Source organism: Homo sapiens, chromosome 12 (genome assembly GCF_000001405.40).
Source record: "Homo sapiens chromosome 12, GRCh38.p14 Primary Assembly".
NCBI lineage: Eukaryota > Metazoa > Chordata > Mammalia > Primates > Hominidae > Homo > Homo sapiens.
The window spans coordinates 124518897-124540322 of record NC_000012.12 but is presented as its reverse complement, the minus strand read 5'-3'; the positions used below and the strand labels follow the sequence as shown (position 1 = coordinate 124540322).

General features: G+C 54.9%; 1 protein-coding gene across 3 annotated transcripts in view, besides 4 other annotated features; it reads left to right on the top strand.

Moving 5' to 3' along the window:
- The window catches only part of NCOR2 (nuclear receptor corepressor 2), a 243198-nt gene that overhangs the window by 27290 nt on the left and 194482 nt on the right, over window positions 1-21426 (top strand). For all 3 annotated transcript variants that reach the window (NM_001077261.4, NM_001206654.2, NM_006312.6), the window contains exon 2: window positions 4712-4758. The gene's annotated coding sequence lies outside the window, so the exon portion shown is untranslated. The remainder of the gene's footprint in view (window positions 1-4711; window positions 4759-21426) is intronic.
- Window positions 100-809: an enhancer, noted in NCBI's record as "H3K27ac-H3K4me1 hESC enhancer chr12:125024060-125024769 (GRCh37/hg19 assembly coordinates)". NCBI's record gives its function as "activates a minimal SCP1, AML or CMV promoter by ChIP-STARR-seq in naive and primed H9 embryonic stem cells {active_cell/tissue: H9 hESC(naive and primed)}" and the evidence as "EXISTENCE:reporter gene assay evidence [ECO:0000049][PMID:30033119]".
- Window positions 6992-7924: an enhancer, noted in NCBI's record as "H3K27ac-H3K4me1 hESC enhancer chr12:125016945-125017877 (GRCh37/hg19 assembly coordinates)". NCBI's record gives its function as "activates a minimal SCP1, AML or CMV promoter by ChIP-STARR-seq in naive H9 embryonic stem cells {active_cell/tissue: H9 hESC(naive)}" and the evidence as "EXISTENCE:reporter gene assay evidence [ECO:0000049][PMID:30033119]".
- Window positions 11825-12813: an enhancer, noted in NCBI's record as "H3K27ac-H3K4me1 hESC enhancer chr12:125012056-125013044 (GRCh37/hg19 assembly coordinates)". NCBI's record gives its function as "activates a minimal SCP1, AML or CMV promoter by ChIP-STARR-seq in naive H9 embryonic stem cells {active_cell/tissue: H9 hESC(naive)}" and the evidence as "EXISTENCE:reporter gene assay evidence [ECO:0000049][PMID:30033119]".
- Window positions 18758-19310: an enhancer, noted in NCBI's record as "H3K4me1 hESC enhancer chr12:125005559-125006111 (GRCh37/hg19 assembly coordinates)". NCBI's record gives its function as "activates a minimal SCP1, AML or CMV promoter by ChIP-STARR-seq in primed H9 embryonic stem cells {active_cell/tissue: H9 hESC(primed)}" and the evidence as "EXISTENCE:reporter gene assay evidence [ECO:0000049][PMID:30033119]".

Below are 21426 nucleotides of genomic sequence, written 5' to 3'. Positions count from 1 at the left end.
TGCTCTTTTTTCCTTCCTCATGGACACCTGTTCCTCGGCCCTCTGTGCTTGGCTCCAGTGTCTCCTCCTGCAGGGGGCCCTCCCTGCCCTCCCTGCCCTCCCTCCCACCACTGCTGGGTCGCCATGGTTTATGTCCGTCACTCCAGGGGCCACTCTTTGCAATCACCTTGCTCACTTATGGGTGTACCGGAGGGTGTTTGGGTGTGTGTGTGTGTGACCTTGGCCCCTAAGACCCTCAGCTTTTGTGTTCGCAGTCATGCCCCTGTACCTGGCAGGTAACAGGGGGTCTGTCCCCTCTGTTTGTTGAGCAGCTGAAGGTTGATGGTGTCCTGGTCGAGGCAGGTCGAAGCTGCCTCTGGGTTTGAATGTCGGCTGGCTCTGCCTCTTGCAGCTGTGTGGCTGTGGGTGGTGGCTTCCCATCTCTGGGTGTGGCGAATGGACGAGTCAGGTTGGCCTTTGTGGCTGGGGTGAGCCAGGCGGGCTTCCTGGAGGAGGAAAAGATGGTGCTTGTTCTGGTTCCAGCAGGGTGGAGAGCAGGGTGACGGTGCGTTTGGTAGAGTTGAGGGTAAAAGCCAACGCCAGGAGGTGGGCTTGTTTGGGAGCTGACAAGGGGGGTGCTGGCAGGTGGGGGCAAGTCTCAGCCTGTGGGCCATGCGTGGTCATGGTGGGCTTGGCAGAGGGGAGCCTTGGAACTGGTCCTTGCTCTCCCCGTGCATCTGCTTTGCCGGGAGACTAGCCTGGCCAGCCCCAGGGGCGCGAGGATGGAGGCCCGGCCCTTCTTCCAGCTGTGGGTGGACTGAGCTGGTGGCTTCAGAGGAATGGGGGGTGCCCGGGTTCCCCCAGCCTGCCTGGGAGGGTGAGGGGGAGCGTGGGAGCTTGCTGGGGGACAGTGAGCATGAAGGAGCTGGTGGGATGCTGTGCGGGGAGGGCCCACGGAGCCGGCCAGTGGGCCTGGGCCTGAGCTGGAATGTGTGTGGGTGGCCCCGAGCCGGTGAGTGTGAACCGGGTGTGCACGAGTGTGAATGAGTGTGAATGTGAGTGCAGCAGAGTGAGCAAGTGCGACTGCGGCCTTGAGCGAGTGAGTGGTGGGTGTGAGCACAGGGGAGCGTGACACAGCGAGTGAGACCTGCTGCTGCGGGGCTGAGCTGGGAGACGCCCGGCCCCGGGAAGCCCTGACGGGGGCGGCTCTGCCGGGGAGGCGTGGGGCTCAGTCCACACTGTGGCCCACATGCCCTGGCCGCTCGCGGGCAGCCTGGGCTGGAGCAGCCTCGACTCCACGCTGCCAGCCCTGTGCCCTGGTGCCCTGGCTCCCCATGGCCCAAGCACTTGGTCCTGGGTTTGGATCCTGGCTCACTCCCTTCCTTGCCACGTGGCCTTGGGTGACTCCTCCCTCAGAGCAGCAGTTTCCTGGCCAGGGACACGGGATGGCTGTGCCCCTGAAAGGGTCCTGTGCAGGAAGTGGATGTTGTCACCCTCTCCTTCCCTCCCCGACTAGCTCTGCCCAGGGTCAGAGAGGAGGAGCGGGCCTCTTGATTCTCACCATCGCTTGCCTGCCTTTCGGACTCTCTAATGCATGATGCTCTCCATGCCAGCCCCTCTCCCACCTCGCTGCGCCCAGCCTGGCCGCCCGCCACATCACTCTCCTGGACTGGCACAGTGGCCTCTCCCTTGGCTGTGGCTTCTGCCCTCACCCGCGCTCCACGGCCAGATGCATCTCCACTTTGGAGTGGGACCTTGCCCCTCTGCAGCTTGCGTAACCCTCCTAAGGTTCTCTGCTCTGGAGATAAAACCCATCTGCAGAACCCTGCGTGACCCGCCCCTGCTGCCTCCAGCCCTCCTCTCTCTTCCTCTCCCCCTGGCTCTGCTCCAGCCAGGGCCCTGGGTTCCTTCCCACCTCAGCCCAGTCCTCGCTACCCCCCTTGGCCCCTCAGTCATCTCCCTGGATTCTGGCCAGTGTGACAGGTTGCCTGTCCTGGGAAGTCCCTGCTGAGTTTTCTAAATTGGGAACCCCTCTTTGGACCTATGTGTCACTCCATTACTGCTGGGAGATTCTCTGTTTCCCTCTGGACAATGTGACCTTGGGGCCAGCCCCCACTGGCCTTGACCCCATGCCACCGGGACACCCTGGGACTCTGTCTGTTGGGGATTGCAGGCTGAGCTGGCTGGGGTTGGGAGCAGGTTAGGAGAAGATGGGGTCTGATCTCCCAGCTGTCTCTCCCAGGTGGAGGTTGAGAGCTTCTTGGTGCCCAGGGAGAGCGCCTGCCAGGCCTGGCTCTGCCCTAGCCTGTGACGGGACGTGCTGCAGGTGGCTGGCCACCGAGGCTTCCGGGAGCTGGGGAGGGCGGCTGTGAAGATGTGCCCGGGCCCTCCCTGTTTCCAGCCTTCCTGCAGGGCCTGTCTCTGGAGCTGATGCAGATGGCAGGACCAAGTGCCAAGCCTGGGGGCATCATAGTGAAAAAAACGCTTAAAAAAGAAAAAAGGGCAGGAAAGAAGTGGCTGGCTTGTCCCCCTGTGAGCTGCCCGCAGCTGCCCTTTCAAAGGCTCCCTCCTTGGGGCCTGAGGGCCTGCCAGGCACTGGAGAGGGCTGGCCTCTCGGAGCTTGGCTGCCAGCCCCTGGGTGGGGGTAGGAGTCATGTCCAGCAAGAACTGAGCACTCGAAGTGGCACACACTGGAGTGGCACACACTGGAGTGGCACACACTGGCACTGAGGGCACTTTACACTCACAACATTCCTGTGGGGTCAGCATTTTTAAAATGATCGTTTCCATTTTAGAGATGGGGAATCTGAGACTCAGAGAGGTGAAGTTGCTTGTTCCAAGTTGCACAGCTAGGAGAGGGTGGAGGCCAGATTGGAACCTGGGGAGCCTGGCTTCAGAGCTTGAGCACTGCACACAGCTGCTCCCTTGTGGGAGGGGGCAGCCCTGGCCTCACCAGTCCCCGATCCCTCAGCTTTGGCACGAGGTGGAGAAGGGGTTTCCCAGAGGTCCGTTGAGACTGACTGTCCAGTGCTCTGCCCTCTGTACTATTTTTTACTTGTTCTTTTCATGCAGAAGTTAACACGATAAAGAATGTATAAACCCCTCAGTGCAGATTAGCGAACAATTATAAAGGGGTCACCTTGTAGACATGGGCTGCCTTCTCCCTAGAGGTGATTGGCGTCCTAACATTTGTGGGAATCACATTTTTTTTGTTGTATTTGACTACCTCTGCAGGCCTCTTTACAAATGTGAAAGTTGTTTTGTCTTCCCCAGAATCCTATCGTGGAACCATAGAGTCTGCAGCCTTGAATCTGGCTTCTTGGACACAGCCTGAGTCTCAGATTCCTCCCTGTGGTCCTGTGTGTCTGCACTTGGTTCCTCTTGATTGCAGAGTCATATGGCATGGATGTACCACTGTTTATCCGTTCACCTGTCGATGGACCGTTGGGTTGTTTTCAGTTGTTCTGCGATTGTGCATAAAGCTTCAGTGAACATTTGTGCGCGAGTCTGTGTGGCTGTTTTCATGTCTGTCTGACAAAGTCCTAGGAGTTGAATTACTGAGTCATATGGCAAGCATGTGTTTAACTATAAGAAATGGCCAAACTGTTTTTGCAAAGTAGTTGCTCCATTTTGCATCCCGTCGGCAACGGGTGAGGGTTCCAGGTGCTCCTTGTTCTCACCAGCACTTGATGTTGTCTGTCTCATGTTTGCCATCCCTATGGGTGAGCAGTGGTCTTTCGTGGTTTTAATTGCCCTCTCTTAAGGACTGATGACGTTGGGCATCTTTTCGTGTCTTATTGGCCATGTGTATGTACTCTTTGGTGAAGCGTCTATGTTGTCTTTTGCCTGTCTGCTGTTGGACTGACTGGCTCATATTGATTTGTGGGTGTCCCCTCTGTATTCTGGGTACTAGCTATCATTGCACTACTTTTGACTTTGTATGGTAACTCAGAAATTCTTAAATGAGGCTGGGCACAGTGGCTCGCACCTGTAATCCTAGCACTTTGGGAGGCCAAGGCAGGAGGATTGCTTGAGCTCAGGAGTTTGAAACCAGCCTGGGCAACATGGTGAGACCCTGTCTCTACAAAAAAATACAAAAATTAGCCGGGCATGGTGGCACGTGCCCATAGTCCCAGCTACTTAGCAGGCTTAGGTGGGAGGATCGCCTTAGGGTTGGGGCTGCAGGGAGCCATGATTGCACCCCAGCCTGAGTGACAGAGCGAGACTATATCCAAAACAAAAACAAAAACAAAAACACTCCAAAATACCAAACAAACAAAAATAAATTCTTGCATGAGAATAGTAGACACCCCCACCCCCGGACCCCATCCTTCAGGTGTCCGTCGACCCATCTCCCTGTTTGTGGGGTCCTCTGGGTAGTTAATGGGGCAGTTTCCCAGTAGCCTAGCCGTGTGGCCCGGGGCCCCTCGGTGGTCTTGCCAGGGTGTGGGATGCCTTTAAACCCACACATCTGGGATTGAATCACAGCTCCGTCACTTCCCGGCTCTGAGAACCTGGGCATGAGATTTGATTGTCTGAGCGTCAGTCTCCCTCTCTGTCAAATAGGTAGCAGTACCTGCCTCACAGGGTTCTCATGGAGAAATACTTGGCCCAGTGCTTACGACACATGGGCCCTGACGGCAGACATGGTCTTTTTTCCTGCATGTCGGTGTCGTCATGCCAAACTGCATACATGCGATGTCAACTAACAAAACCCGTGTTTTGTCCGCAGGTCTCCCTGAGTCTTTGAGGACACAGCCTCGCTGGAGGCAGTTTCTGGTAGGTTCATGTCTGTCTCCACTTGGTGTCCCCAGGAGGTTCATCCTGCCTGGACTTTCTCACGGGAAGTGGGTCTGGAATTACTCGGAGCCAGGTTCGGCCTGGAGTGTGTGGTGGGGGCCTCGGGGGGCGTGTGGGGTCTGGCACATCAGAGCTGTCCAGGGCAGGGAGCAACTTAGGGCAGTTTGCGGGGTCCCCCAGTGATGGGCCGTTTCCTGGCTGAGTTGGTGCAGTGATTTTTTGATGACACCTGAGAGGTGGGAGGGTCCCTGACAGTGTCAGTGTCAGGAGGGTGGGCTTCCCCGGGCTCCGGGGTTCTTGGTCACATTGCTTTTGTGCTTTGGCGGTGGGCCCGCAGGTTTGGCCAGGGTGGGGCCTGTCGATGGGCCCAGGTGTTCGGGTGTTGGGTGCTGGAGGAAGCCCTGAGGCTGAACCACCACTGTGGTCCCCATGCCTAGCAGGCAAAGAGGTGGCCTGGGTCCTGGTCTTATCACTGCTACTTCTGTGCTGGGCACTGGGGCCAGGTTGCTTTATCTCTCTGTATCTCTGTTTCTCCATCTGTAGACTGGGCGGGGAGGCAATAACAGTTTCCCCTTATAGGGTTTTGCTGCGGTGATTAATGCTCATAGAGAGCAGTGCCTGGCCTGAGAAGGTGCCTGGTGAGTCATAATCACAGGTCGTGCTTTTCACAGGTCACCCCATTTTGTGACCCTCACAGCAACACTCCAGAATGGGTGGTGCCTCATTTTACAAGTGGGGAAACTGAGGCACAGGTTGGTCACCTGTCCCAGATCTTTCAGCTGGAAGCAAAGAGCCAGAAGCAAAGAACCCCTTCTCACCCTTCCCAGGGAATGCAGCAAGTTTCTCCCGGAGTGCTCATTTCCCAGCCAGGCAGATGGTCGCTGAGGGCATTGCAGGGCTCGTGCGCATGGAGGCTGGGGCACATGGCGGGCACACAGCGTGTTCTGGCTCATGACAGGCTGTTGTCGGGAGATTTCATTCTTGTTCCAAATACAGTCATGTGCTGCATAACGACATTCTGGTCAACGATGGACCGCATATATGACAGTGGTCCCATAAGATTATAATACCACATTTTTTTTTTTTTCGAGACAGAGTCTTGCTTGGTTGCCCAGGCTGGAGTGCAGTGGTGTGATCTTGGCTCACTACAACCTCTGCCTCCAGGTTCAAGCTATTCTCCTGCCTCAGCCTCCTTAGTAGCTGGGATTACAGGCGTGCGCCACCACGCCTGGCTAATTTTTGTATTTGTAGTAGAGATGGGGTTTCGCCATGTTGGCCAGGCTGGTCTCGAACTCCTGACCTCAAGTGATCCTCCTGCCTCGGCCTCCCAAAGTGCTGGGATGACAGGTGTGAGCCACCAAGCCCAGAGAATACCACATTTGTACTGTTCCTTTTCTGTGTTTGGATACCTAGTGTACCACTGGGTTCTAGCTGCCTGTGGGAGTCAGTCCAGCCACACGCCGTACAGGTGGTAGCCTGGGAACCGTCGGCTACACCAGGGTTGTCCAATCTTTTGGCTTCCCTGGGCCACATTGGAAGAAGAATTGTCTTGGGCCACCCAGAAAATACACTAGCACTAATGATAGCTGATGAACTAAAAAAAAAAAAAAAATCACAAAAAGGTCTCATAATGTTTTCAGAAAGTTTACAAATGTGTGTCAGGCCACATTCAAAGGCATCCTGGGCCGGGGTTGGACGAGCTTGGATGACACCACACAACCTGGGTGTACCGCTGGCACTGAGGTCTAGGTTTGTGCAAGTCCACCCCCATCGTGCTCCCACAGCCACAGCACCAGCTCCCGTGCGTTTCTCAGAACGTGTCCCCGTGGTTAAGCAGTACATGACTATATATTCGTTTATGGAATGGCTCTTTCTAAAGCACCTACTGTGTGCCAGGCTCTGTTGTGGGTGCTGGGAATAGACCTGTGGACAAGACGGCCAAGCACCTAGTCCTCCCTGCGGGGAGACAGACCATGACCAAAAGTCAGTAAGTGCGACGCTTAGCGGGTCTCTTGGTGGTGAGCACCAGGCTGAGGAACAAGTGGTGAAGGGGTCTGGGGAGCCTGTGGGTGGGCTGGGGGTTGCAGTTTCAAAGTGGGGGTCAGGGTAGGCCTCCCTGAGAAGGTGGCCTTTGAGCAAAGACCTGAAGTAGGGGAGGAAGGAAGCATGTAGGTATCTGGGGGAAGGGTGACCCAGGCTGAGGGAACAGCCCTGCCAAAGCACTGAGGCAGCTTGGAATGGGCCTCCCGGGTTGCGCGATTCTGAGTTACCTCGGGGGAGTTTTCCTGGAGGAGGCCTCTTTACTTCTTCCTGAGCCTTTGGGGGCCCCCCACTAGGCAGGAGGGAAGATCAGCCCTGCAGGTCATCTGCTTCCTGGGGCTGGGCCTTGGGCCCTAAGCCCTGGGCCTCACAACCAGGTTTTGTCTTGGAGGGAGCAGGGGAAGGAGGATTGGGATTTGGAGGTAGGAGAAGGAGGAGTGGGACTGGGGTGGGGGAGGAGGAGTGGGATTTGGAGGGAGGAGGGGAAGGAGAAGTGCGATTTGGAGGTGGGGGAAAGAGGAGTGGGATTTGGAGGGAGGGGGGAAGAGGAGTGGGATTTGGAGGGAGGAGGGGAAGGAGGAGTGGGACTTGGAGGGAGGGGGGAAAGAGGAGTGGGATTTGGAGGTGGGGGAAGGAGGAGTGGGACGGTGGCGGTCCCCCACAAAGTGATGAACTCAGCAGGGCTTTCTGCCTAGGCTCATGGGGCTTTGAAGTTGGAAGGAAAGCGGCCTGGTCTGGGCTGTTTTTCCCAGCCTCCTCCTCCTCTGCCTCTCTGTCCCCCGTCCATCGGCGTCTCCGTCTCCGGCCTAATGGGGAGCCTTCCTCCTGTGGCTGAGTTATCTGCTTGTCATGCCAGTGGCCCACCCGAGGACGATAAAAGGGCTTTTTGTCTGCAAGCACTTAGCTTCCTCTGCCGGGGCGATCCATCACATCTGAGGGAGGCCGGGAAGGCAGACAGACGGTGGAGTGGGGCCTCCTCCTCCCCTGCTGAGGGAACCTGATGCTCCCAGGAGCCCCCTTGCAGGACCCAAGTGGCTCCTCAGCCCGAAGGCAAGGCCTGTCTGGGGGCCAGCAGGGGTGAGTGGGAGTGGGGCCATGGGGGCACATTGAGGCAGGCAGATGCTCTGCACTCCCCTGACAGAGGACAGACGCTGCCCGGATGCCCTGCCCCACCACACCCACTTGGCAGCTCTGTGGGGCCCCTCTGGGACCCTCCATGCTGGAGAGGGTGGGTGGGGGGTGCAGCCTTTTCTGAGTAAGAACCGTGATGGTAGAAGGGGGCATGGGGGAGACAAGGGGGGACAGACCTCAGGGCCGACACTCGCTATGCGTGCACTAAGCACTTTGTGGAATTACCTCCTTAAATCTCAGGGCGACCCTGGAGGTGGGCACCGTCCTTATCCCCATTCTCCAGATGAGGAAACTGAGGTACAGGGAGGCGATGTGGCATCCCCAGGGTGCAGCAGCAGAGGGAGGGCTTGGCTCCAGGCTCCCAGCGGTACACTCTTCCCTGCGGACCTAGGACCTTAGAAGGGGGCTGTGGGAGCCCCTGGCCCCAAAAGTGGGTTGCCCGTGACTCGAAACTCTGTGAGTGGATTCTTCAGCTGGGAGTGGGGTGGGGAGGTGGGTGTCTGGGATTGTCTATACATTGGGGTGAGGGGTCCGGTGTGGGTGGGGGCTGGGGTCTCGGGGTACCCTGGGCGGGTGATCGGGGACACCGAAGGTGTGTAGGGGGAGGTTTTAGGGCCCTGGCCCGGTGGGATCTCACCTCTCGGGGGCTCTGGGAGGACCGGCTTTAACCCCAGTTGGACGGGGCCCTGGGCCCTGCTTGGGTGGGGAGGAGAGCAATTCAGGGCCCCCTGCCCTTCCCTGTCTGCGCCACCACCCTTCCCTCTCTGCCATCCTCCTCTCTCTCCTTCCCAGCCTGGATGCTCAGCCCTGGGCGGGGGCTCCCTGCAATCCCTTCCTCCCCTCCCCCTTCCTTCCTGCTCCCTACCCCTCCTTCTCCTCCCTCCTTCTCCCCACAGGCCACCCTCAAATGACAGCAATTAATGGTGCCTGTGATGGCGGGCTGAGAGGAGGAGGCTGACAGTTGAGCGTGTCTGCCTGCGGCCGCCCGCTAATCGGGCCCGGGGGATGCCCCTCCTGCCGTTGGCTCCAGGCGCCTGCCCTGCCATCACTCAGAGGGGAGCAGGAGCCCTGGACAGGCCTGTGGGAGCTGGTGCAGAGCCCCCATCCCTGCAGCCCCCTCCCTGTCCTTCTATTATTATTATCATTTTCTTTCATAAACGGGTGGGCTCTGGCTGGACTGTTGTTCAGCATGAGTTGGTGGATGCCTCCCAGACGTCCTTCTCCTGAAATGACCTCTCATGTGCCTGTGTTGTCCTCAGGGCCAGCCATCCCCACAGGGCCCCATCCTTTTGTCCCTGCTTCCCTGGGAGAGGCGGGTTGGGTGGAGCCCAGGAACCGTGTCCTGTCCGGACAGCAGGCATCAGTTAAATGCCCCGGCCTGAGTCCTCGGGGCCTGGGGGCAGCTATTTGAGCCCAGAGCCTTGTCTGGTGGGGTGAGGAAGTGTGTTGTGTTTGTCAGGGTTACAAGAATCCTGGCCAGCTCTGTCCACAGTGGGCCTGGGCTTGACCATTTATCACCTGGCAGCAGCAATAATGAAGCCCCTGCTGTATGCTGGGGCCTGCAGCTGGTATGTTCACTTTGGTTCATTTTACTTGGCAGTTTTCTGAGGAGTGTGGTATTTCTCACCTTGCTTTTGTAGAGGGGGAGACTGAGGGGCAGAGAGGCAAAGCGATTTGCCCTAAGGGGCACAGTGCCCTACGTGACCTAGCTAGCATAGGACAAAGCTGGGGTTCAACCCAGACCCAAACTGTCCAATGCTCATACATCAGGGGACTTTGGGAAACTTGAGGGCCAGTTTAGGAACCAGCAGACTGATTTAGAAGTGAGGAAATAGTCCCTGGGTACTGGGAATGGAGTGAGTAGTGTTAATATATGCATCTCTCTCCCTGTTCCACTTAAGATCATCTTCATTGAGATGTAATTAACCTATAATGATGCACCCATTTTAAGGGTTCAATTGCATGTGTTTTGACAAATGTAAACATTTGCATCACCTCCACAATCAGAATAAAGTGTTTCTGTTCCCCCCAAATCCCCACCAGTCCCTTGGCACTAAATCTCTAGCACCCACCTCCACCCCCCACCCCCGACTAGAGGTACCCACTGATCTGCTGTTATAGAAGCTTTTAACTCTTCTAGAATTTTATAATAAAATTATCATTTTATTATATACTATACTTTGTTGTGTCTGGCTTCTTTCACTCTGCATAACCCATGTTGCTCATGTATCAATTCATTCTTTCTCATGGCTAAGTAGTATTTCATTCTGTGGATATATTACAGTTTATCCATTCATCAGTTGATGGACATCAAAGTTTCCAGTTTTTGGCTATTGGGAATAAAGCTGCTCTGAACATTCTTGTGTAAGTCTTTGTGTGAACATGTTTTCTTTTTTCTTATGTGAATATCTAGGCATTGGGTTGCTAGGTCACATGGTAAATGTGTTATTTTAGTTTATAAGAAACCACCAGCTGTTTTCTAAAGTGGCTGTCCCATTTTGCATGCCCACCTGCAGTGGATGAGAGTTCCAGTTGCTCCCCATCCTTGTCAGCACTTGCTACTGTCAATCTTTTAATGTTAGCCGTTCCAGGAGACCCTAATGCACATGCGATTACATTTTTCAGCTTTTGCTGCCTTTTGGGCAAAGCTGTGGTTCTGTGTTTTGATTTTATGTGTCTGGCCAGCTGGTGGGAGTCTAAAGGATGGTGGGAGATAATCTCGTGTCTGCCAACGCTAGCTCTGTGTTTTCCTTTCTAGTCTTTATGCTGCTGACTGACTGCTTCTCGTCCGGCTGCAGTGGTTGAGACCACAGTGCAGTGCCGGATTGCACCAGTTGGGTTGTTTGGGGTTAGTTAGCTGTGAGTGTTGTTATTTATTTTTTTATTTTTTATTTTTTTTGAGACAGAGTCTTGCTCTGTCGCCCAGGCTGGAGTGCCATGGCATGATCTTGGCTCACTGCAACCTCCGCCTCCCGGGTTCAAGCGATTCTCCTGCCTCAACCTCCCAAGTAGCTGGGATTACAGGCATGCGCCACCACATCTGGCTAGTTTTTGTATTTTTTTTTTTTAGTAGAGACGGGGTTTTGCCATGTTGGCCAGGCTGTTCTTGAACTCCTGACCTCAGGTCATCCACTTACTTTGGCCTCCCAAAGTGCTAGGATTAGTGAGTGTTTTTTTTTTTTTTTTTTTTTTTGAGTCGGAGTTTCGCTCTTATCGTGCAGGCTGGAGTGCAATGGCACGATCTCGGCTCACTGCAACCTCCGCCTCCCGGGTTCAAGCAATTCTCCTGCCTCAGCCTCCCTAGAAGCTGGGATTATAGGCATGCGCCACCACGCCTGGCTAATTTTGTATTTTTAGTAGAGACGGGGTTTCTCTGTGTTGGCCAGGCTGGTCTCGAATTCCCGACCTCAGGTGATCTGCCCGCCTCGGCCTCCCAAACTGTTGGGATTACAGGCGTGAGCCACCGCGCCCAGAGGTGTTGTTCTTAACACTCATCTTACAGATGAGGAAACTGAGGCTCTGACAGGTCAGGTGACTTCCATTCCGATAAGAAATGAAACTCATGACTCTGAGTTGTGTGCCCTTTCTCCTCCTTCAGGCTAGGAGGTGCCAGCTCCGTTTGTTGCAGTGATGTGTTTGCCAGTCCAGAGGGTCATGCCAAGAATTGGTGGCTGGTTGGGGCCAGGACCACCTTTTTCCTAGGGTTTCCTCTGCTGGAGAGATGAGGGTGTGGAGGAGACGCTGTGCCTTCCGGATCAAGCACTGTCCTTTGGCACTGAGCACTGTTGAGTGAATGTCAGGCGTTGGTTCTGCCAAGGGTCTTCCTTGTTCAATCCTGTTGTCTTGGGCAAAACCACACCTGCCTTCCGGGGAGCTATTTTGGGGCAAGGGAGGAGCATGGCATATGGAAGCCCAGGAATGGGCTGGGATGGAAGAGGGGGCCTCCTTCTCCTTTTTCCTTGCCTGAGGGGTGTCAGCTAAGATGACTTTTCGGGGAAGGAGGCCTGTAAATTAAATAAGCAATCCCGTAAATAAATAAGTAATGAAGTCAGCGGGGTGCCTAATTACATCAGATTCATCATTGTGGATGGATGCCTGCCCGGTCATTGTACTTGTTTTTAATCTTCGGCTCTGACATGTGTCTCCTTCCGTCTCATAGTCATCCCCACCCCAGCTGGAGGGAGGAGGCGGGGAGGCGCTGCTGTAGGGGCTTCCAGAGAGCCTTGGTGGTGGAGGTGGTGGTGGGGTCCCTGGAGGGTTATTTACCCAGTCTGCCTGTTTATGGCAGTCGTGGAAGGGATGACGTCTGTTCCGCAGTGAAACCTCAGGAGGCCTCGGGCCATCCTGATTCAGCAAATCCCTCATCAGGCTGCGCTGAAGGGTAGATGACAAACATGGTGCCCCGCACAGATGGGGCCACAGCACACGCAGCACGCCCTGGAGGGCGAGATGGGAAGGACACGGACGGGGGCAGATGACCTCAGTGCAAAGTCCCAGGGATCCAGGTGGACCCGTCTTTATGCTGCAGTTGGGTTTGTAAACCTACTGGAGCTTCGAAGTGGGAGCACCCCATGGCAGTGACAGCAGCAGTCCTAACAGGGTTTGTGATCGTCCTTGTGTCACACTTCACATGTTATAATTTATTTAATTGACTGGGCACAGTGGCTCACGTCTGTAATGTAATCCCAGCACTTTGGAAGGCCGAGGCAGGCGGATCATCTGAGGTCAGGAGTTCGAGACCAGCCTGGCCAACATGGTGAAACCCCGTCTCTAATAAAAACAGAAGAATTAGCCGGGCGTGGTGGCGGGCGCCTGTAATCCCAACTACTGGAGAGGCTGAGGCAGGAGAATTGTTTGAACCCAGGAGGCAGAGACTGCAGTGAGCTGAGATCGTGCCACTGCACTCCAGCCTGGGCAACAGAGCAAGACTCCACCTCAAAAAAAAAAATAAATAAAAAATTATTTCATCACCTAAAAGCTCTTGTAAAGTAGGGATTATCATCATCCCCTCTTTACATATGAGGAAACTGAGGCACAGAGAGGTTCCGCATCTTGCCCGAGGTCACACAGCCAGTGAACTTTGCACTCAAGTCATCTGCCCCCGTCTGCGTCCTTCCCATCTCACCCTACAGGGCGTGCTGTGTGTGCTGTGGCCGCGTCTGTGCGGGGCGCCGTGTTTGTCATCTACCCTTCAGCACGGCCTGTTCAGGGATTTGCTGAATCAGGATGGCCTGAGGCCTCCTGAGGTTTCACTGCTGAAAAGATCTCATCATCCCTTCCACGACTGCCATAAACAGATGCCATTCTGAACTGTAAAATAAAATCATGTTTCACTAAGGACAAAGCAAGCCCATTTGCTGAAATTAAAATAGCTTCTTTCCAGATCTTCTCTTTCTCTTTCAGCGGCCCTGATTGGCTGGCTCTTGGGGGACTCTCTGTCCTGCCTGAGATAATGGTCCTTAGACCCATTGTACAGTTGGAGAAACTGAGGCTCAGGGAGGTGGAGGAGCATGAGTGAGACCACACAGCTGGGAGGTGGTGAAGCTGGGATTCTAGCTGCTTCTTACTGTTTGGTTTGGGGAGCGGGGGCCACCTCATGTGCCTGACGTGGAAGGGGCTGCCTGTCCTCTCCGAGAAGCGCAGGGAGCTGTGTGCACCCCAGGCTGGCTTTGCTGGGGTTCTTGCTGTGGCTGATTGGTTAGCGTCCTGTCTGTCCGCGGGGGAGAGGAGACCAGCTGCCCCACCTCGTGGTTTCTCCTCAGGACCTGAGCATGTGCTGGGCATGGACAGAGGATGGGGGTGGCTGGGGGCAGTCTTGTCCTCGTTCGCTGTCCATGCAGCTCCAGGGTGCCCAGCCACAGCCCACACCTGTTCCCTCCATGGTGCCTCTCCATATCTCCAGACTCCAGGTCCTGTACGAGGCAGTGGGGCCTGAACCCTTGGGATGTCTGGGCCTCTACTGGGGGCCCAGGGAGGGAACACCCTTTACTTTACAGGGTGTACTTGTGCAGCCGGACAGGGCCTGCGTTGCTGGGCCGTGGCTTGGATGGGAGTGGGGGTTCACACATTCCCCTGGTGCTGACTTCAGGCTTGCGGGGTTTGGGGCTCTCCCTGCCCCTCACTGTCACCTGGGGTGGAGAGAGGAGTTGAGGAAAGACCCACATGAAGAATTGTGTGTGTCCATGGTGTTCCTGGGGGTTGGAGCAATCCAAGGAGGCTGCCTGGAGGAGCTGGAACACTCACATTGAATAATCATAAGCCCATCTTGGAGGGACTAATGTGTGTACATGCTTCAAACAGGACCTGGCACAGAGCAAATACCATATTTACCATAAAAGCTAACATTTCCTGATCCTTTTCTTGCCTCAGTGCTGTGTGTGAGTTGCCAGTATTATTATTATTAACATTAACTACAATTTCTAACGTGCACCCCATACATACACGCATGTACTCTTTGCAGCAGCCTTAGAAAGTAGGTGCTATTATGATCAGCCCTGTTTTCTAGTTAAGGGGATTGAGGGCAGAGAGAGGTTAGGGGACTTGTCCAAGGTCGCCCAGTTGGCAGAGCTAGGATGTGAACCCAGAACGCCTGACTCCACGGCAGCTGCTTTTCATCGTGTGGATGGTGCAGGTGCCACCTGCAGCCCTCCCTCTGCCCCGTGGGTACGCCGATCACTGCCGCAGCCAGCCTGGATCTCTTGGCAGGGCCATGCCAGCTGTGGGACAGCCTCCATGTGCCACGTAGGGCCCTCAGGCACGCAGCAGCTGCTCTGGGCAGTGTGGGATGGTCAGGACGTGGGACATCTGCTTCCTGCCTCCCTGCAGCCAGATTGGTGTCCCCACGGCCTCCTCCTGGTTGAGGGGATGGCAAACAGCAAACAAGATGCGGCGCTTTGCCTTATGGATCACACAGGCTGATGGGGAGATGGGCAGTGCCAAAAAACAAACACGATTTTGCAAGGCAAGAAAATGCTGCCTGTGAAATAATACAGGGTGGGGAGGTAGGGATGACTTCAGTTTCGGGGGACTCATTTTAGGTAAGAATTCCAGGGTAGCTTCTGAGGAGGTGGCATCTGAGCTGGGCCCTGGACAATAAGGAGGCACCCACTATGTGAAAGGAAGGGGGATGAGGGAACAGCAGGCGCGAAGGCCCTCCGGCCACCATGTTTCAGGCATGCTGATTGGGGTTCTGTGCCTCAGTTTCCCACTCTGTAATGGCTGGAGCAGAGCAGGGGGGCCCCAGGAGGGCTTTCCTGGATCTGAGACTGTCCTGCAGACCTCCAGGGCTGGGCTGTTTTTCACATTTAAGGCAGAAGTCAAATTTAATGACTTTTGCCTTTCCCTTTTGTTCTTTTGCTCCATAGTTAATTTCCATGTATTTACATGGTTTTAATTTACATGTATTGGGCACGTGGCATGTTCCGGACTCATGTACGTCACTGGGATGAGAATGGTGGAGAAGTTGGACATTGCCTGTGCCTTCGAGTTTAGTATCCAGAGGGGGAGTGTCAGTTAAACAAGCAAGTGCTATCGCGGGTGGTGAGGGTTGTGAGGACGAGGTTCAGGCATTCACCTGGGTGAGGCAAGAGCTGAATTAGTCTTCCATCAGGCCAGGCGTCCAGGGACGAGTCATTCAAGGGGAGACCTGGGGGTGATTAGTTAGGGGCAGTTAGTTAGGGCTCCTGAGTTGTGGCAGAGACACACTCGAGCCGAGTTAGGCTATGACGGGGAGTTGATGGGTCCTCAGAGTGGCCAGGGTAGGACACGTTCAGGCACGGCTGGATCTAGGTGCTCAAACAATGCCTCTGGGAGCTGGCTTTGCCTCAGCTGTGCCTCCTTCCATGCGGGCCTTGTTCTCAGACAGGCTCATGCCACCAGCCCAGCCCAGCCAGCCAAGGAGAAGGAGAGTCACCTGGCATCCCAGGAGGGACACTCCTTTCTCTTGTTTGAGTGAGGTCCTCGACATTTGTTTCACTGTTTGCAACAGCAAGAGGAGGTGGCCAAAGAAGGGATAAGGGGATGTCCCAAACTCAGACACAGGGAGGAAAGGAGTGAGTGAGTCAGTGCAGGTCAAAGGGGAGGAGTGGGGATTGTGGCTAACTGGCATGCTGGGTATTCTGATGGTTTTCCAAGAGAAGCTGGAAATCTGGATTTTATAAGGAATGGCCTAGTTTTTAAAAAACATTGAATGGGCCAGAACAAGTTTTCTTCATGGCCACAACTGGCTGTCACCATTTTATAGCCTCTTCTTAGCAGTGACTTTTAAAGTATTTTGTCCCCACTGTGATCTGGGTAGAATGTCCCATGGGCTGTTCCAGAAGGTCTCAAGTCTTGGGAAGTCACGTCTGACACCATTGGAGATGCCATTTCTGAAAGTCAAGGCCCACGGCCACAGCAGTTTCTCAGAGAACAATACCATGTCTCCAGTGGGGCCTGACATTCTTGGAGACAGTATAGTCTAGTGGTTAGTGTCGTAGATGCGGGTTTCACACTTGCTGAGTTCAAAACCGACATTGCCACTTCCCAGCCCCGTCCCCTTGGGCAAGTCACTTCACTGCTCTCTGCCTCAGTTTCCCAGTATGTATTAATGGAATGGGTATGACAGCACCCCATAGGATTGTTGTAAGGCAAGCTTGTCCAACCTGCGGCTCAGGACGGTTTTAAATGCAGCCCAACACAAATTTGTAAACTTTCTTAAAACAGATTGTTTTTCGGTTTTTTGTTTTTTTTTTTTTTAGTTCATCAGCTATGGTTAGTGTTAGTGTTATGTGTGATCCGAGACAGTTCTTTTAGTGTGGCCCAGTGAAGCCAAAAGACTGGACACGCCGGTTGTAAGGCACAGTGGAGGCCGCGTGAAGCCCACTGACCCTGGCACACTGAGAGCTTGGGTGATGCTGGCCGGCGTGATGTGTCCTTCCCGGGTTAGGTCCCTGGGATCCAGCTGGCTGGCGTGGAGCATTCCTGGGCACTCCTCTTTCCTCTGCCGCTGCCCCTGCCACCGGGGTGTGGGTTCCCAGGAGCCCCAGAACAGGCAGCCACCTGCCCCCTGCCCCCAGCCGTCCTTGCCAGTTGCTGGGTGCCCATGGTATTCTGGCGTGCCGGATGGTGCTGCAGTTGGAAGTGAGTCTTGAGTGAGCAATTAACTCTGCCAGCTGCCAGCTCACAGCTGCTGTGGGTGGGGGCGGCCCCTTTTAAAAATAAAAACAACATGCAGAAAAACAGCCCTGGAGTACCGTTGGCTTCCCTTAGCCAACGTGGTCAGGGCTTCATTTTGATGCTTTTGTGGAGAAGAATCCCGGGCCTGGATGGGGAAATAGGATGCATTTTGGTCTGGGGAGTGTCTTTATTTAGGGGCAGAGGTGATGGCCTGTGTCTGGCCTCCCCATCCAGGAGGCAGGCCCCTTTCCTCAAGCTGCCCACGAGTGGCTGGCTCATGGATGCCTGCCACAGGGAAGGGGATTTGGGTTCCTTGGGGCCAGTTTTTAGCAGGCTCAGGCCGGAGAGGGTGGCTGTGGGATCTCTCAGGTCTGTTTCCAGCTCTGTCGGCTATAGGGGGGCCCTGGGGCCATCCCGGAGATCCCTGGAGCTCTCCTCTGCAGCTTCCAGCCAGTTTTCTGGAACTAGCGGGAAAGGAAAGGGGCACCAAAGGTGTTTCCGGGCATGCGACTGCTGCCACTTTGAGGTCTTGGCTTTGGTAGTGGGTTGAGTCATGGCCCATGAAACATAGGTACACTTGGAAACTGTGAATATGACCTTGGCCTTATTTGGACCACAGGTCTTCGCAGATGTCACTAAGGTAAGGGTCTCAAGATGGGATCATCCTGGAATAGGATGGGCCCTAAATCCAATGACAAGTGTTCTAAGAGAAGACACACAGCAGAGAAGTCCACGTGAAGACGGAAGGAACGCCAGGAGCCACTGGGAACTGGAAGACACAGAGAAGGCTCCCCCTGCAGAGTCTTTGGAGGGTGTGTGGCCCTGGTGACACCTTGAGCTTGGATTTCTGGCCTCCAGAACTGTGAGAGGATAGGTCGCTGGTTTCAGCCACCCAATTTGTAATAATTTGTTATAGCAGCCACAGGAAACGAATACAGTTGTGAACTTTATTTTAATCACTCATGTATTTTAAAATTAAAATGTAAAATGTAATTTTGTCTTGTTCACTGCCATATTTCCAGTGCTCAGCACATACAGTAGGGGCTCAGCAGATGCTTCTCGAATGTCTGATAGCTCCAGGCCTGGGTGAGGAACTCCTACCTGCTGGGAGTTGGACCCAGCTTTCAGGAAGTCGGTAAACTGGGCTGGAGTGGTGTGCATTCAGCAACACCATCTTTTTGTTTATTTATTTGTTTATTTGAGATGCGGCCTTGCTCTGTTGCCCAGGCTGGAGTGCAGTGGCATGATCTTGGCTCACTGCAGCCTCTGCCTCCTGGTTCAAGCAATTCTCTTACCTCAGCCTCCTGAGTAGCTGGAATTACGGGTATGCGCCACCACACCTGACTGAATTTTGTATTTTTAGTAGAGATGGGGTTTTGCCATGATAGCCAGGCTGGTCTTGAGCTCCTGGCCTCAAGCGATCCACTGCGCCCGGCCTATTTATTTTCAGTTGAGGTGAAATTCACATCACATATAATTTACCATTTTAACATGAACAGTTCATGAGTTCTTAGTACAATCACAATGTTGAGCACCCACCCCTTCTATCCAAAAAATGTCCTCATCACCCCAAAAGGAACCCTGTACCGGTGGGGTCACTTCACGTTGCCGCCTCCCGCAGCCCCTGGCAGCTACCAATCTGCCTTCTGCCTCTGTGGACTTACCTATTTTGGGTATTTCTCCTGGACGGAATCATGCACTGTGGGTTTTGGCTTCTTTCACTCCGCACAATGTGTTTGAGGTTGATCCGTGTTGAATGGTGTGAGTCCTTCATTCCTTTATATGGCGGAATTCCATTGTGTGGCATACATCAATAGAACCATTTGATATCTAAGTGGCTTTTCAGATGAGGAAACTGAGGCTGCCCAGGTCACGGAGCCCTGGGGCCCGGGATTGAGGAGGTGCAGATAGCCAGACGTGTCTGGCTCACGGTGCTGTCTCTTTCTCCTGCCCCCACCCTGCTCCACTCGTATCTGTGCCTGGCCAGGAAGCAGCAGTGTGTGGGGAGGAAGTGAGTGGGGGTCTCTTCCAGCTGGAGCCGGATGCTGAAGCGTAGCTGCGGCTGTGGGTCTGGATCTGGTCCTCAGAGTTCTGGCCCCCACCTCCCCCCTGGGCCCCACACATGTAGTTTCTGTTGACCTGGGTTGCGAGAGAGGCAGCAGGCAGGAGCTCCCCCATTCGCCAGCTGAGCCTTCTGATGCCTCGAGAGGCTGGGGGCCTTGCCTGGGGCCACTCAGCTTAAGGTCCCCCTGCCCCTTTCCAGACCCCCTTTGGCCCACTGTCCTGGCCCCTGTGGCCTGCGGTGAATCATATTCTGGGGGGTCTTCACCGATCTTTCCCACCGTCAAAGCTCTGCTCAGCAGACGGGCTCCAGGAAGCGGCCTGTCGGCAGATTTTGGCCAGGGGATGCTTTTTCGAAGTATGGAGGGGTGGTCGCCGTCGAAGGCTTGCGTGATGGGGAGTTCTTTTGCTGAGCAGATAACCAGACACTGGCTTATTCTGAATATGAGTTTGGTTTTGGCCACAGGCTCTGTCTGGGGGCTGCTGCCTGTGGCTGTTTCTGGTGTTTGATGATTTGTGGTCTTCATTAAGTCACTCAACAAACAATTTGCTGCGGAGTGTCTGGCGGGGAAGACACAGGAAGCAGAACGAGTGGCCGTGAAGAGACATGCCCAGTGTCAAACCTGCCCATAGCACACAGTCGCTCTGAGGGGGTGGGAGGAGTTACCGTGGATTCCAGGGCCAGCCTTTGGCGAAGGTCTGGATGCAGGTCTGTGTCCAAAACAAACAAAAATGAACAGAAGGAGGTGGTGAGGCCTGACTCGGCCGCTCTCAGGCACCGCTTCCTGGTGGTGTTTGCATGGGGCCAGTTTGGCCTGGGTGTCATGGTCCCGCCTGGTCTTGGCGACGGTCTGGGCGGGAAGATGGTGCTGGATCTTTGGGCTAAAAATATGCCCGTGCCTTCCTGTGCCTCAGTTTCCCTACCTATAAAAGAAGGCGTAAGAGTAGCAGAATCCCACCTTTGGCTTTGGGGCAGGTCTACGGAAACCCCCCAGGGGTGTTTCCTGGGGAAGGCTAGAGGGCCAGCTGTTCACAGGAGACATCTGGCTTCCAGGGGCCTCCGCAGCCACTATGCTCATCCCCTCGTGGCCAGTCTGGGCCCCCTGCCAGTCCAGTGGCCACGGGCCCCTGTCACAGGCAAATCTGGTCTTAGTCCTGAAACCCTCCTGTGACTCCTTGTGGCTGAATTACCACGTGGATAGCGGAGACAAGCCAGGCTTGCCCAGTTCAAGTCCCAGCTCAGCCACTAGCTGTTGACCTTGGGCAAGTCACCTACCCTCTCTGGGCCAGCCTCCTGCTCTGTCTGTGTGTGGCGGCTCAGGGGCATACCTGCCTATGCCGCGGTGGTGTGAGGCCAGCTGGTGAACCAGGGGACCCGCTTAGCACAGTGCTGGGCACACAGTCCGAGCTGCTGGGCTCGGTGTGTGTGGCCACTGTTATTGTTATTAATATTATTACTCTCAAGATGCTCCTGAGAGTAAAAAGGATGACAATGTTATTGCTGGAGTTGAAGGCCAGGCCCAGAGTCCATCTGACCACTTCCCCTCCACTCCTATTAGCTCCCTGACCTCATCGTCAAACTCTCCCCGCCTCGCCCCTGCGCCCCGGCCACACCAGCCTTCTCTCTGCTTTGACAACACACCCGCGTGGTCCAGCCTCCAGACCTTCACATCTGCCATGCTTCTGCCAGGGGTGCCTTCCTCACATCTGCACCCCCAGACCCTTGTCATCATGTGGGCTGCTGTCCAGGGACACATTCTTAGGCCCAACTCTTGGCTGCTAGGGGCAGGGAAGTGAATCTGGAGACCCTGGTGGAGCCTCCTCTGCCTCCTGGGAGCTCCAGCAGCTTCCTCTGGCGCCTCATCTCTGCTTTCCAGAGCACTTGGAGAAGCAGAGCTCAGCCTGCCCCTTCTACGGATGGAAAGTTGACACCCAGAGAAGCTCAGACTTGTCTCTGAGTCACACAGCTAATTGCAGCCAAGGTTCAGACTCCTGGCTGACTACCAAGCCATCATTGTTGGCCTGTGTGTGTGTGTGTGTGTGTGTGTGTGTGTGTGTGTGTGTGTATTATTTGGCCACGTCTTCTTTTCTAGGCCTGTCACCGAGATGACCCCAGATCAGAATGCCAGTGTGAGGGGGTCACGCTTTCTTTTCCTAGGATTAAAAGGAGGACAGAAATATTTGCAAGGGAGAGCCTGCTCCTCTGGCCATCTGGCCCTCGGGACAGAGGACGGGGGAGGGATGGGCCGAGGCCTGGGT